Source organism: Homo sapiens, chromosome 10, assembly GCF_000001405.40.
Source record: "Homo sapiens chromosome 10, GRCh38.p14 Primary Assembly".
NCBI classification, from domain to species: domain Eukaryota; kingdom Metazoa; phylum Chordata; class Mammalia; order Primates; family Hominidae; genus Homo; species Homo sapiens.
In genome coordinates this window covers 73270474-73285125 of record NC_000010.11, presented here as the reverse complement: position 1 = coordinate 73285125, position 14652 = coordinate 73270474, and the positions used below count along the sequence as shown (strand labels likewise).

The 14652-nt window shown below is 40.7% G+C and overlaps 1 protein-coding gene, 1 long non-coding RNA gene and 1 pseudogene across 24 annotated transcripts in view; 1 reads left to right on the top strand and 2 right to left on the bottom strand.

Annotated features, from left to right (window-relative positions):
- CFAP70 (cilia and flagella associated protein 70) overlaps positions 1-14652 on the top strand; it is a 109218-nt gene that overhangs the window by 77854 nt on the left and 16712 nt on the right. For 16 of the 22 annotated variants that reach the window (XM_047424551.1, XM_017015627.2, XM_017015621.2 and 13 more), the window contains 5 exons: positions 6789-6947; positions 7765-7886; positions 9528-9680; positions 10532-10693; positions 12109-12198. In XM_047424551.1, coding sequence (XP_047280507.1) covers positions 6789-6947; positions 7765-7886; positions 9528-9680; positions 10532-10693; positions 12109-12198 — 686 coding nt within the window. Of the gene's footprint in view, positions 1-6788; positions 6948-7764; positions 7887-9527; positions 9681-10531; positions 10694-12108; positions 12199-14652 lie in introns of those variants that run through there. The other 6 variants (XM_017015626.2, XM_017015625.2, XM_017015629.2 and 3 more) reach the window with 5 other exon arrangements.
- RNU6-833P (RNA, U6 small nuclear 833, pseudogene) lies at positions 5958-6064 on the bottom strand (annotated as a pseudogene).
- DNAJC9-AS1 (DNAJC9 and MRPS16 antisense RNA 1) overlaps positions 8142-14652 on the bottom strand; it is a 29618-nt gene continuing 23107 nt past the window's right edge. For both annotated transcript variants that reach the window (NR_038373.1, NR_134458.1), the window contains 2 exons: positions 12168-12313; positions 8142-10678 (listed from right to left, as the gene is read on the bottom strand). This is a non-coding gene — a long non-coding RNA (DNAJC9 and MRPS16 antisense RNA 1). The remainder of the gene's footprint in view (positions 10679-12167; positions 12314-14652) is intronic.

Genomic DNA, 14652 nt, shown 5'->3' with positions numbered 1-14652 from the left:
TGGAGCAATGTACATGTGTTCCATTTAATTTGTCTCAGTTTCTTATATATCTAATTTGCCTACCTCTTGTAATTTAGTTTCCATTCTATCAGCTGAAATCACATTTATAAGACTAATGTTCAATTTACAGTAATGGAAGCAGCATGAAGTGGTGTGGCAAACCCTCTTACAAGTTGCAAGTATAAAATATTTTTTAAAACAGTAATTTGAAAGTGGGCCATCTGGTCTCTGTCATAAATAATCAACTCTGCTAATGTAATGTGAAAGCAGTCATAGATGATGCATTTAAAAATGGATGTGACTGTGTCCCAAAACAACTTTTATATATATATATATATATATATATATATATATATATATATATATATATATATATATATATATATGTGGCAGGTCATATATGGCCCATAGGCTATAGTTTGCAGCTCTGTCTTAACAGCAACCATTAAAAAAAAACCACAATTACATATACTCTAATACACTATAGATAAGTCAAAATGGGATACTAAAAAATGTTCGCATAATTCACAGGAAGGCAGAAAAAGGAAAATAGTAGAATAAAAAGCAGAGAGAACAAATAGAAAACAAATACTAAAATGGCAAACTTAAATCCTAACATAAATAAATACTATGGTAGGCTAAACAATGGCTCCTCCAAAGATGTTCATGTCCTAATCCCTGGGACCTGGAACTGTTGCCTTATATAGCAAAAGAGACTTTGCAAATGTGGTCAAGAATCTTGAAATGGGGAGATTATCTTGGATTGTCTGGGTAGGTCCAATGTAACCACAAGGGTCCTTATATGAGAGATGCAGGAGAAGTCACAGACAAAAAAAAAGACAATGTGATAACGGAATCAGAGGGCTAGAGAAAGATATTTGAAGATGTTATGCTTCTGGCTTTGAAGTTGGAGGAAAGGGGCTACAAACCAAGGTATATAGGTAGCCTCCACAAGCTGAAAAGGCAAGGAAATAAATTCTCCCTTAGAGCCTCCAGAAGGAGCTAGCCCTGTCAAATCTTGACCTTAATCCAGTGAAACTGATTTCAGACTTTTGGCCTTGAGAACTATGAGATAATATGTTTGTGTTGTTTTAAGCCACTAAGCTTGTAGTAATTTGTTACAGCAGCAATAGGAAACTAACATAATTACATTCAATGCAAATGGTCTAAACATACAAATTAAAAGACATAGACTGACTTTAAATAATAATTTTTAAAACCTCAACTATATGTTGTGTACAGGAACCTCATTTCAAATATAATGATATAGGCTGAGTGTAGTGGCTCATGCTTGTAATCCCAGTGCTTTGGGAGGCTGAGGTGGGAGGATCGCTTGAGGCCAGGAGTTTGAGACCACTCTGGACAACATAGTGAGAACCTGTCCCCCAAAATCCACAAACAAATATAGTGATATAGATAAATTAAGCATAAAAGGATAAACAATAAGAGCTTATGAACCAATAATAGTAAGCTGGAGTAGCTGTGTTAATAATGGACAAAGAAGACTCCAGAGCAAAGAAAATCAATTGAGACAAAGAGAAACATTAAAGAACAATAACAGGGTTAATTCACCAAGAAGACATACCAGTTCTAAGTGTGTTTGCACTAAACAACACAGCTTTTTAAGATAATGAAGCAAAAACTAACAGGGCCGAAGGGAGATGCAGACAAATTCATACTTAGAGTTGGGTGTGTCTCACCCCTATCTCCGTATTTGATAGAACCACTAGACAGAGAATTAACAGAATATAGAAAAATTGAACAGCACCATTAACCAGTGGGATCCAATTGATATTATAGATCACCCAACAACAGCAAGGTACACATTCTTTCAAGTGCACATGGAACATCACCAAGACAAACTATATCCTAGGCAATAAAACTGACCTTAACACACTTAAATGAATTGAAATCATACAATGTATGATCTCAGACCATGACAGAACCAAACTAGTTATCAGTAATAGAAAGATAACAGGAAAATCTGGCCAGGTGTGGTGGCTCTTGGCTCACGCCTGTAATCCCAGCACTTTGGGAAGCCAAGGCTGACAGCTCACTTGAAGTCAGTAGTTTGAGACCAGCCTGGCCAACATGGGGAAACCCTGTCTCTACTAAAAATACAAAAATTAGCTGGGTGTGGTGGTGCACGACTGTAATCCTAGCTACTTGGGAGGCTGAAACAGGACAATCACTTTAACTCCGGAGGCAGAGTTTGCAGTGAGCTGAGATTGGGCCACTGCACTACAGCCTGGGCAACAGAACAAGACTCTATCTCAAAAAAAAAAAAAAAAAAAAAAAAGATAACAGGAAAATTTCTAAACACTTAGAAATGATCAACGCATATCTAAATATTCCTCTAATGAAAGATGAAGTCACAGGGAAATTTGAAAATTTGAACTGAATGAAAATAAAAATATAACTTATTAGCTGGGCATGGTGGCTCATACCTGTAATCCCAGCACTTTGGGAGGCCGAGGGAGGCAGATCATCCTAGGTCAGGAGTTCAAGACCAGCCTGGTCAACATGGTAAAACCCCTGTCTCTACTGAAAATACAAAAATTAGGCGGGTGTGGTGGTGCACACCTGTAATCCCAGTTACAGGGAGCCCCATGCAGACCCTGTTTTAATGTCCTTTTGGCAGCAGACTGTTGTTTTGTACCATACATTCAGATCTCTAAGCCAGTGTAGAATCCATCATGGTTTGGTGTGGCCCGCCTGGGACTATGATATTGGCATAGTTTTTTTTTTTGTGTGTGTGACATTCATGTTTTGTGATGTTCATTCCTTTCTCTGAATCCTGTCATTGTGTTCTTGCAGCTGTGTGACATGAGTGGTGCAGTTTTGGATATGTGTGAGGGGGATTTTCAGGGTAAGCTGGCCCTGGCCTTGCCCCTCCACCCCGATAGCTAGCCAGGCCAGCTGCCCAATCCTCCCCTCCGCTCCTCCTCTCTGCATGTGGCTCAGGCCATCCGCATGGCTGCTTCGTTCTCCAGCCTTCCCCAGCCTTCCCCAGCCTTCCCCAGCCTCAATATGGATGAGTTGATCCATGAGCTTATTTGGCTTTGGGGGATCCCTGGCTTCTTTTTATTTCTTTTCATTAGGAGGAGCTGGGGGAGAACCCAGTCAGCCCCTTTTCCCCACCTTCTCTTTCACTAGAATCACGTCGGTATGTCCACAAGTACCCAGTGTTTAGCTTCCATTTATAAGTGAGAACTTGCAGTATTTGGTTTTCTGTTCCTGCATTAATTCACTTAGGATAATGGCCTCCAGCTGCATCCGTGTTGCTGCAAAAGACATGATTTTGTTCTTTTTTGTGCTGCGCAGTACTCCTTGGTGTATATGTACTGCATTTTCTTTATCCAGACCACCATTGATGGGCACCTTAGCTAGATTCCATGTCTTTACTACTGTGAATATTGCAATCACATGTGTCCTTTTGGTAGAAAGATTTGTTTTATTTTGGATATATACCCAGTAATGGGATTGAAACTCTATATTCAATGACATAACATCGGTAGTTTGAAATTGGCCATGGTAGGAGAATTTACGTCATGGAAATCAGCAAACCAGGCTCCACCCACACCCCTGACAGCCAGCAGTTAAACATTTACCATCTCATCACTAGATATATAGGAAAACTTCAAGTATTTGGAAATATACACTTCTAAATAACTCACAGGTCTCCAAGGCAGGCAGATCACTTGAGGCCAGGAGTTTGAGACCAGCCTGCACAAAATGGCAAAACTCTATCTCTACAAAAATTAAAAAAAAAAAAAATAGCCAGGTGTGGTGGCATGTCTGTAGTCCCGGCTACTAGGGAGGCTCACGTGGGAGGATCACGTGAGCCTGGGAGGTTGAGGCTGCAGTGAGCCATGATTGTGCCACTGCACTCCAGCCTGGGTGACAGTGAGAGTCTGTCTCAATAAATAAATACATACAGATCTAAATAAATAAATAATCAACCCACAGGTCAAAGAAGAAATCACAAAGGATATTAGAAAATAGTTTGAACTTAATGATAATGATAGCAAAACAAAGCAAAATGTGTGGAATTAGCTAAATTATTTTCTAGAGAGAAGTTTATAGCTGTAAATGCTTATATTGGAAAATAAGAGAAGTCTAAAATCAATGATCTAAGATTCTACCTTAAGAAGCTAGAACAAGAAAATCAAATTAAACCCAAAATAAGTAAAAGGAAGGAAATAATAGCCCAGAATAGAAATCAGTGAAATAGAAAACAGACAAAAATAGAGACAATCAATGAAACCAATAGCTGTTTCTTTCAGAAGATCAATGAAACAGATAAATCTGATCAGGGAAAAAAAGAAGTCACATTACCAATATCACAAATGAGAGAGAGGACATCACTGAAAATCTTATAAATATTAAAAAGTTAATAAGGAGAAGTTATTAACAACTTAATGCCAACAAATTTAACAACTTAAATGAAATGTATGAATACCTTGACAGACATAAACTAACAAAATGTACTCAGGAAGAAACAATCTGAATAGCCCTATATCTCCTAAGGAGGTTAAATGGGTAATAAAAACCTCTCACAAAGAAAACTTCAGGCCCAAAAGGCTTTATTAGTGTATTCTATTAAATATTTAAGGAAGAAATAATTCCAATCATACCACATGTTCAAAAAATAGAGAAAAAGAGAACACTTACAAACTCATAATTTGAGAACAGTAATCACCCTGGTATCAAAACCAGACAAAGCCATCCCAAAGAAAGAAGAGTACATACAAATAACTTTCATAAGCCTAGACACAATACTTATTTATTTATTTAATTTTATTATTATTATTCTTTTTTAAGAGACAAGGTTTTGTTATGTTGCCCAGGCTGGTCTCAAACTCCTAGCCTCAAGTGATCCTCCCACCTCAGCTTCCCAAATAGCTGGGATTATAGGCATGAGGCCCCACACCTGGTTAGACACAATAATTCTTAACAAATATTAGCCAATCAATTTCAGCAACATATAGAAAAGATATATTTAAGCAGGGTTGTAAGATCAGTTTCACATTTGAAAATCAGTGTAATTTATCACCGGGATAGCTAAAATTAAAAAGATTGATAAGACAAATTTATAACAAGGATGTGGAGTAGCTGGAACTCTCAAACATTCCTGGTGAGAATGCAAAATGGTGTAACCACTTGAGAAAACTGGTAAGTTTTTTCTTTTTTTTTTCATATACTTACATGGCTTTCCAATAAACGGCAATTTTTAAAGGTTATTTTTCTTTTCTTTTCTCTTTTTTTAAGACAGAGTCTCGCTGTGTTACCCAGGCCAGAGTGCAGTGGCAAAATCATGGCTCACTGCAACTTCTACCTCCAAGGCTCAAGCAGTCCTCCCACCTCAGTCCCTCAAGAGTAGCTGGGACTACAAGTGTGCAACACCATGCCTGGCTAATTTTTGTTTTAGTAGAGATGAGGTCTCACTGTGTTTCTCAGGCTGGTCTTGAACTCCTGAGCTTAAGCAGTCCTCTTGCCTCAGCCTCCCAAAGTGCTGGGCTCACAGGCGTGAGTCACCTCGCCCAACTTCTTATATTTATTTATTTATTTATTTATTTATTTATTTATTTATTTATTTATTGAGACAGAGTCTTGCTCTGTCGCCCAGGCTGGAGTGCAGTGGCACCATCTGGGCTCACTGCAAGCTCTGCCTCCCGGGTTCACGCCATTCTCCTGCCTCAGCTTCCCGAGTAGCTGGGACTACAGGCGCCCGCCACCAGGCCCGGCTAATTTTTTGTATTTTTAGTAGAGATGGGGTTTCACCGTGTTAGCTAGAATGGTCTTGATCTCCTGACCTCATGATCTGCCCACCTTGGTCTCCCAAAGTGCTGGGATTACAGCTGTGAGCCACCACGCCCGGCCCCAACCTCTTATTTTTTTAATTGATATATAGTATTTGTACGTATTTATGGAGTGATATTTTGTTACATGCCATTTAAAATGTGGAATGCTTCAGGAATCTGTGAGTCATCCTTGTGCAGGGGCCATGCTAATCTTCTCTGTGCTGTTCCAATTTTAGTATGTGTGCTACTAAAGTGAGGACGAAACTGACAAGTTTTGAAATAAGCTTAAACATACATACACATGCCAGCAGTTTCACTCCTATTTTTTTTTTTTTTTTTTTTGAGACGGAGTCTCGCTCTATGCCGAGGCTGGAGTGCAGTGACGTGATCTCGGCTCACTGCAAACTTCGCCTCCTGGGTTCACGCCATTCTCCTGCCTCAGCCTCCCGAGTAGCTGGGACTACAGGTGCCTGCCACCGTGCCCGGCTAACTTTTTGTATTTTTAGTAGAGATGGGGTTTCACTGCGTTAGCCAGGATGGTACTGGATCTCCTGACCTCGTGATCCACCTGCCTCGGCCTCCCAAAGTGCTGGGATTACAGGCATGAGCCACCGCGCCCGGCCTCACTCCTAGATCTTAACCCAACTGAAACAAACGTATCCTTGCAAAGATCTGTATGTAAATGTTTAAATAAAAAGATTTATTTATTTTTTTAATAACTTAAAATAGGGATCTGTTTGATATTATGACTTGGACTAGCAGCATGGTTGTACTGGGGAGTCACAGTGACAGAAACTGTTTTGTCAGTTTAGCTTATACTCTTTAAATTATTAAAAAATATAAACAAGTCTACCAAACAAGTCTGTCCTTCATGAAATATTTAGGGAATATGTTTCTTATGCTTTGCAAAATGTATCTCTTACAATAACCTTTAAACACCCAATGTAAGAAGTTTTATTTTTCATTAAAATGTAATCTATTTAGGACCAGGAGCTGCATTATCTATTCTAGACAAATTTCTTGAAGAATCCTCCAAACTGCAGTCTGATTCACAAGAACCCATTTTGACTACACAAACTTGGGATCCAAGTATAAGCCAAAAACCATCTAACACATTTATCAAGGAGATACCAACAAAGAAAGGTAACTAGAAATAAAGATTTCCACTTGGAAGAGGGGCATAAGCTAGACAAGGATGAAGACTCTTACGATGATGAAATGGCAATCCTGACTTGTTTGAAGTTGATAACCAGGCTCTGAAATCCAAACTCAATGGTGTAACTCTCTCAGTAAGCAAGGATTTTATATTTAGCTCACAGAAGTAGCCAACTACAGATCTATGATTTCCTAACAGTTCTTCGTTTTTAAAAAACATCTACAAACTGTGTTTCACATTCAAGAAGATCTGAATACCTTTTTAAACCTTTTTATTTGGTTGTACTTGCATTTGGAACCACAAGTAGATTTACCTTGAGAACCTTTGAGTGCTCCTTTTTGGGGACCATTGCTAGAGAGCAGTCAATTGCTTTCTAGATTATGATCCCTCTCATGTATTAGATAAGAAGACTCTCCCTGCCAAGTGAATAGTGTCTGAATTTTTTTTTTTTTTTGAGATGGAGTCTTGCTCTGTTGCCAGGCTGGAGTGCAGTGGCGCAATCTCGGCTCACTGCAACCTCTGACTCCTTGGTTCAAGTGATTCTCCTGCCTCAGCCTCCCAAGTAGCTGGGATTACAGGCACGTTCCACCATGCCCAGATAATTTTTGTATTTTTAGTGCAGACGGGGTTTCACTATGTTGGCCAGGATGGTCTCGAACTCCTGACCTCGTGATCTGCCTGCCTCGGCCTCCCAAAGTGCTGGGATTACAGGCGTGAGCCACCGCACCCACCCGAATGTGTCTGAATTTCTGACACTTTTTCTGTTATATCCAATCTTCAATCCTTTTAATGTAATATTTTCAGAAGCATCAAAATGTCAAGATTCATCAGCTCTTCTGCATCCCGGCCTTCATTATGGTGTTTCTCAAACTACCACCATCTTCATGGAGACCATACATTTCTTGATGAAAGTCAAGGCTGTGCAGGTCAGAGTATTTGGAAAAGGGCAAGTAGATGGAAAGATTTTAGCAAACTCTTTATTCTATCCATAATGGTATCTTTCAAGCTTCCATATTTGTGAAACAGAAATCAAATATGCTTTTGAGAGCATACTTTAAGCCCAATGGAAAGAACATCCAAACATGAACCACTCTTTGCACATGGCAGCAGAAGACCTCGCTGCAAGTTCTGCTCCCTGTAGAATACCAACAGAGCTAAATCAGACTCTAAAGGCATATGTTGCCTGATATCACTTTATTATGGGAATTCATTTTGTGAGTGTTGGGGGTTCACAGGAGCCAAATCATTCCCTTCTTCCCTTCTAGGTTAGATCCAACTAGAAACATACACAGTACTATGTGGGGGAATAAAAATATTAGCTTATTTTTATTGGTAAAACTTGGCTGGACAACATAACTAGCCCCACATTTGACTTACCCATGCAGTCACAGGTAGAGCAGCTGAAGAATTGAAGCCTCCTCTCAGAGAAGAAGAGCATTCTAGGAAGTCTGCCTATTACATGGGAAGAAAGAAGCATATTCATGAGCAAGCAGTAGGAGAGATCAAGACTCAGGAGCCAGGAGTGTTTGGTTTTGATCCTGCCAAGTGCATGCCCTACTCAAGGGCAGGCAAGCTCAAGAAAGGGCAAGAATTATTAACTGGGTGGGATTGAGCCACATTAAGCAGGAGGCTTTAACACATTAACCCTCCGCAAAATAGAAACAGACTCTCTTCTTCCACAGCTAAATAAGTCATTAGCTCCCCCAGGTCAGAGACCCAGAAGGCAGGTGGAAAAAATAGCTGCAGCTGTTCCCTCTAGTATTCTCCTAAAAAGGTGTAAGTATAATGTAGAATTTTCTACATTATAGGCTGAGATGGGAACAGTGGGAGATGAAAAGAAGGATTTACCCTCGACTTAAGAAGTATATCTAACTTTGTTAATTTTGTAGGTCTTATAAAGTGTAAAAAGCAAAGATTTGGCCAGGCATGGGGCTCACCCCTATAATTCCAGCACTTTTGGGAAGCCAAGGCAGGAGGATTGCTTGAGGCCAGAAGGCTGCAGTAAGCAGCCCTGGGTGACAGAGTAAGACCCTGTCTCTAAAAAAAGAAAAAAAAAAAAACAAAATACAAAAATTGACCCAAACTACAAAACTGGTAAACATAACCAATGTTTGGAGGTGGATCCAAAACAGACATTTATGTTTCTAAGATTTCAAGTCTAGATTGTTAGAAAGGCAGTTTTACCTCACTTAAGTTTCCTTACAATGTCAGCTGCCTGAAAATGTTACCTCCTTTGTAAATGGGGTGGTTGATGATGTGCCTTTGTCTGCTGCATAATACATGCAGTCTAACACTCACCTAGTATGATGACCAGCAAGACCAGAATTGTACAATATTGCAAGTTATTCACTTGGTAATGTCTTCATTTGGTGACTAGGTGAATAGCTGGTAATGGAACTATGAAGTGCAGAATGTTTGTAATTCACCCTTTACCTTTTGAAGTTGAGGATAATTATTTCATTCTGTAATACATTTCGTATTATTTATTATCAGAGACAGAATCCTTCAACCGAAAAAGACGCAATGCAGCCATTTATATGTTGCTTATAATCTGATTATCCTTGCAGTATGTGCACAGAGTGCTTGCACATGAGCTGTTATGCCCTCAAGGAGGCCCCAGCTGTGAATATTACTTGGTGCTGGCCCAAACACACATTCTTAAGAAGAACTTTGCCAAGGCAGAGGAATACCTTCAACAAGCAGCCCAGATGGACTACCTGGTAATGACTTTTGCTAAAGCCTCTTGAGTCTGGAGAAGGGGCTTTATTTAAAGGTGGTGATGCCATATCACACGTAGATTTCTGGTGAACAGAAGGGTGGTCATCAGCTGTCAGTAAACTCATCTCTCTATACCCTTCCATTTGCTTTTCTTAAGTAATCATGAGTTGGCTGGGCGCGGTGGCTCACAACTGTAATCGCAGCACTTTGGGAGGCCGAGGCAGGCAGATCACGAGGTCAGGAGTTCAAGACCAGCCTGGCCAACATAGTGAAACCCCATCTCTACTAAAAATACAAAAAATTAGATGGGCGTGGTGGCAGGTGCCTGTAATCCCAGCTACTCAGGAGGGTGAGGCAGGAGACTCGCCTGAACCTGGGAGGCGGAGGTTGCAGTGAGCGGAGATTGAGCCATTGCACTCTCCAGCCTGGGCGACAGTGCAAGACTCCATCTCAAAAAATAATAATAATAAAGTAATCATGAGTTTTGCAAAGAGCAGAGAAAAGGATATCTTTAGCTGATAGTGTTTATTTCAATTTTTCTAGATTTCTTATATTTTCTCATGTGAACAGTATTGGGGTTATGCTTGAATGTTTTTCTTAATATTTACTCCACACCCAAAATGGCTTTGAAGAATGCAAGAAAGAAATCTGAGGGCAGAGCTAGAAAAATGTCTCCTTGTACAATTAAATGGTTATGTTTCTGAGTGCTCTTAGAAAAAGAAAACGGTTGATCTGAAAAAGAAAAGAGAAAGGAAATGGACAATCTATCTAAATTTAAATGTTAAACAAAGATCATCAAGGTACTTTTAAATACTACCTTATCCCATATACTACTTGCTTTTCACTTTCCCAGAACCCCAATGTCTGGGGCCTGAAGGGCCATCTCTATTTTCTGAGTGGAAATCATTCTGAGGCCAAGGCATGCTATGAACGAACCATTAGCTTTGTAGTGGATGCTTCTGAGATGCACTTCATCTTCCTGAGACTGGGGCTCATCTATCTGGAAGAGAAAGAGGTGAGGGGTAGAGAATGGGGAATAACCCCGTGGTCTGGGAACTAATTGTAATTCAAGCATTAACATCTATCTGTGTGGACTAAAACTAGTAATATAATAATGACACTTTTACATCCAAAGGTAAAGTGACTTGCCCAACATCAGACAACCAGTAATTAGTGGAAGCAGCATTCAAACTCAGGCAGGCTGAAACGAGAGTCTGTGATTTTAACCATTATGCTACTAAACAGTTCTTAAGAACTCAGTAAATGTTATGCTAGCTAAAATTGTATTCACAGTAGTAGAAACATCCTTAGCTTGACTTACTTAACAGAAGGTATCATGGGCTTCAAAAGGACTTCTCTCCAAACTTTCTCCTAAACACAAAGGGTTATATTTAATCTGGTTGAGGCTAACCCCATTCCATAGGGCGCTCTGACCTGACCATGGAAGCAGTCCCTCCCCATATTTTGGGAAATATTCCGAGTTCTTTGGAAAAACAAAACCTTTCTTTTATGGAAAATTTCAGTACATACAAAGCAAACAGAATAGTAGAATGAAACACCATGGACCCATCATCTCACTATAACAATTATCAACATTCTGCCAAAGGCCTTTTGACTCCCCTGCTTTTGTTTTGACTTTATTCTATTTTTCCCGTCAGAACACCCAGTTGTCTTTTTATTTAATATAAAACAGCAACAGCAACAAGAAATTACGATGCTGTATGATGTTAAGTGGAAAGCTCACATAGGCTTGAGAGAAATCCCTATCCCACTGTAGTGAAGTATATAAGGAGAAGTTTTCTTTCTGATGTCATTGAAAGCTGCATCTTCAGAGCACTGCTGACTTAGGCAGACCCCGGGCAAGCAGGTCTTAGGCTGTTTGCTGAGGCTCAGCTATAGATGTATCTCATGTTGGAGATACAGGACAAGAAATTGTCCCTTCAGGGCTATGTCCTTTGAAAGTTTGTCTTCTGAGTTTTTCTAAAATTCTAAGATCTTTTACAACAAAGGTGTAAAATGATGAGGCTGTATCAAGTATACCTTTTAGTCCAGAGATTGTATGTTTGTCATGCCACCACATGATGTTGCATTTAAGTGAAAGGGAGTAATCCATGAAGTGGAGGTGGAATTCAGATAATCATGATGGTTGCCCCCACTTTCAGTGTAACTCCTTGCCTCAACTCTTACAGAGACTATAAATGTCTTTGGAACTACTTCCAAGTGAAAGTCTGCTCTTTCATGTGATCTATCCATCTCCTCTCACCAATCTTCTTGCGATAACTCCCTTAAGGTAGACGTCAAAGTACAATTAAAGGACTTGCTTAACTTAGATTGTTCTGGAGAGCAATTATCAGAGATCCCATGATCATCCCAGCAATATGGGGTTTGAAGCTTCTAGAACAGTAGCTTAGTGGTGCTTTCTTTCTACAGTATGAAAAGGCAAAGAAAACCTATATGCAAGCCTGTAAGAGATCACCTTCATGCCTTACCTGGCTAGGACTGGGAATCGCCTGCTATCGGGTAAGAGGATGAAGGCTTGAGACTAGGGCTGTGGATACAGCTGACCTTGATTCCTTGGCCTTCCAAGCATCCTGGGGGTTTGTGATGACATTGGAATAGCAATCAGGGCTGTCTGCTGTAATGAAAAGTTGTTCTTCAAAGGTGTTCAGTGAACTGAAGGTCACTTAACTAGCTAGAAAAATAAAAGATCTTTTTAAAAAATCCCAGAAAAACCTGAACCAAGAAGCTACATAATAAAAAAAATTCATGTTATTTGGTATAGACACTCCTTTGTGATATTATCTGTAAGAAAAAGGTGATATGGGAGATGAAGAATCTATTCAAGTCAATTAAAGAAATTGATTGACACTTACTAAGCACTGTGACCCTTTGATATGCAGGAGGAGTTGCTGTAACTTCTGGCAGAAGCTTTTGCTCTGCTTCTCCTAAAAACTCTTTACTTAACCTTCCCTCATTTCCTCCAGTCTTCAAAGAGGCAAACATCCTCTTGTTCCTGCCTAATTTCTTCAGGCATATTATTGACTCCATGTCTCTCCCTTTCTTTGAATAGCTTACTCACTTATTTATTTATTTATTTATTTATTTGAGATGGAGTCTCGCTCTGTCTCCCAGGCTAGAGTGCAGTGGTGCAGTGGTGTCACCTCAGCTCACTGCAACCTCTGCCTCCTGGGTTCAAGTGATCCTCCTGCCTCAGCCTCCTGAGTAGCTGGGATTACAGGTGCCCACCACCATGCCAGGCTAATTTTTGTATTTTTAGTAGAGATGGGGTTTCACCATATTGACCAGGCTGGTTTTGAACTCCTGACCTCAAGTGATCCACCCCAAAGTGCAGGGATTACAGGTGTGAGCCACCTCACTTAGCCCCTCATTGCTGTTTTTCAGCCATAAAGATAATATGTGTTCATTATAGAAACTTTAGAAGAAGCCAGGAGCAGTGGCTCACACCTGTAATTCCAGCACTTTGGGAGGCTGAGGCTGAAGGATCTCTTGAACCTAGGAGTTTGAGAGAAACCAACCTGGGCAACAGAGCAAGACCCCCATCTCTACAAAAACATTAAAAATTAACCAGGCATGGTGGCATGTGCCTGTAGTCCCAGATACTTGGAAGGCTAAGGTGGGAGGATTGCTTGGTGGGAACACAGAAGTTAGAGGCTGCAGTGAGCCATGATTGTGCCACTGCACTCCAGGCTGGGTGACAGAGCAAAACCTCACCTCTAAAAATAAATAGACAAATAGATACAAAATATGAAGAAAACATTAAAGTATCCGTAACTCCACAAGTTGGTGATAACCACTGTTAACATTTGAATGTACTTTCCTCCCGTCTTTTTTCATATATATGAAAGCAATTTTAATGTATAAAATGTAAATATTTACTGCTTTGTAACCTTTTTTCGACTTAACAGTATAGTATTGGTATCTTCTTATAGCTCTGTCACCCAAGCTGGAGTGCAGTGGCGCCATCTTGGCTCACTGCAACCTCTGCCTCCTGGGTTCAAGTGATTCTCCTGCCTCAGCCTCCTGAATAGCTGGGATTACAGGCATGTGCCACCACACCCAGCTAATTTTTGTGTTTTTAGTAGTCACAGGATTTCGCCATGTTGGCCAGGCTGGTCTCAAACTCCTGTCCTCAGGTGATCCTCCCACCTCGGCCTCCCAAAGTGCTGGGATTACAGGCGTGAGCCACCGCACCCGGCCTGTGTTTTGTTTTTCACACATCTGTCAGTGAGCCCTTTGAGGGCAGATATTGTATTTTATTTATTTACTTGAGACAGGATCTTGCTCTGTCACCCAGGCTGGTGTACAGTGGCTCAATCTCAGCTCATTGCAATCCCTGCCTCCGGGGCTCGGTTGATCCTCCTGCGTCAGCCTCCTGAGTACCTGGGACTACGGGATTTTATTTTTTTACTCCCAGCATCTAGCATACTGCCTGACACAGAGCAAATCCTTGGCAAATGTAGGTTGATTAAATAATGAATCAATGTCTCAGAGACTTCAAAGTGTGGGCCAAAGTATGGGTGTGGGTGAAAGGCCATCTCTTGTCTTTGGCCTAGAAACCCATTATTTAATTATTTTAAAGCAGAAAAAGTAGGCTGGACACAGGTGGTTCATGCCTGTAATCCCAGCACTTTGGGAGGCCAAGGTGGGCAGATCACTTGAGGCCAGGAGTTTGAGACCAGTCTGGCCAATGTGGTGAAACCCCGTCTGTACTAAAAATACAAAAATTAGCTGGGTGTGGTGGTGGGCACCTGTAATTCTAGCTACTTGGGAGGCTGAGGCAAGAGAATCGATTAAACCTGGGAGGCGGAGGTTGCAGTGAGCTGAAATCATGCCATTGCACTCCAGCCTGGGCAGTACAGCGAGACTCTGTCGAAGAGAAGGGAAGGGGAGGGGAGGGGAGGGGGAGGGGAGGGGAGGGGAAGGGAAGGGAAGGAAAAGAAAAGGAAAAGAAAA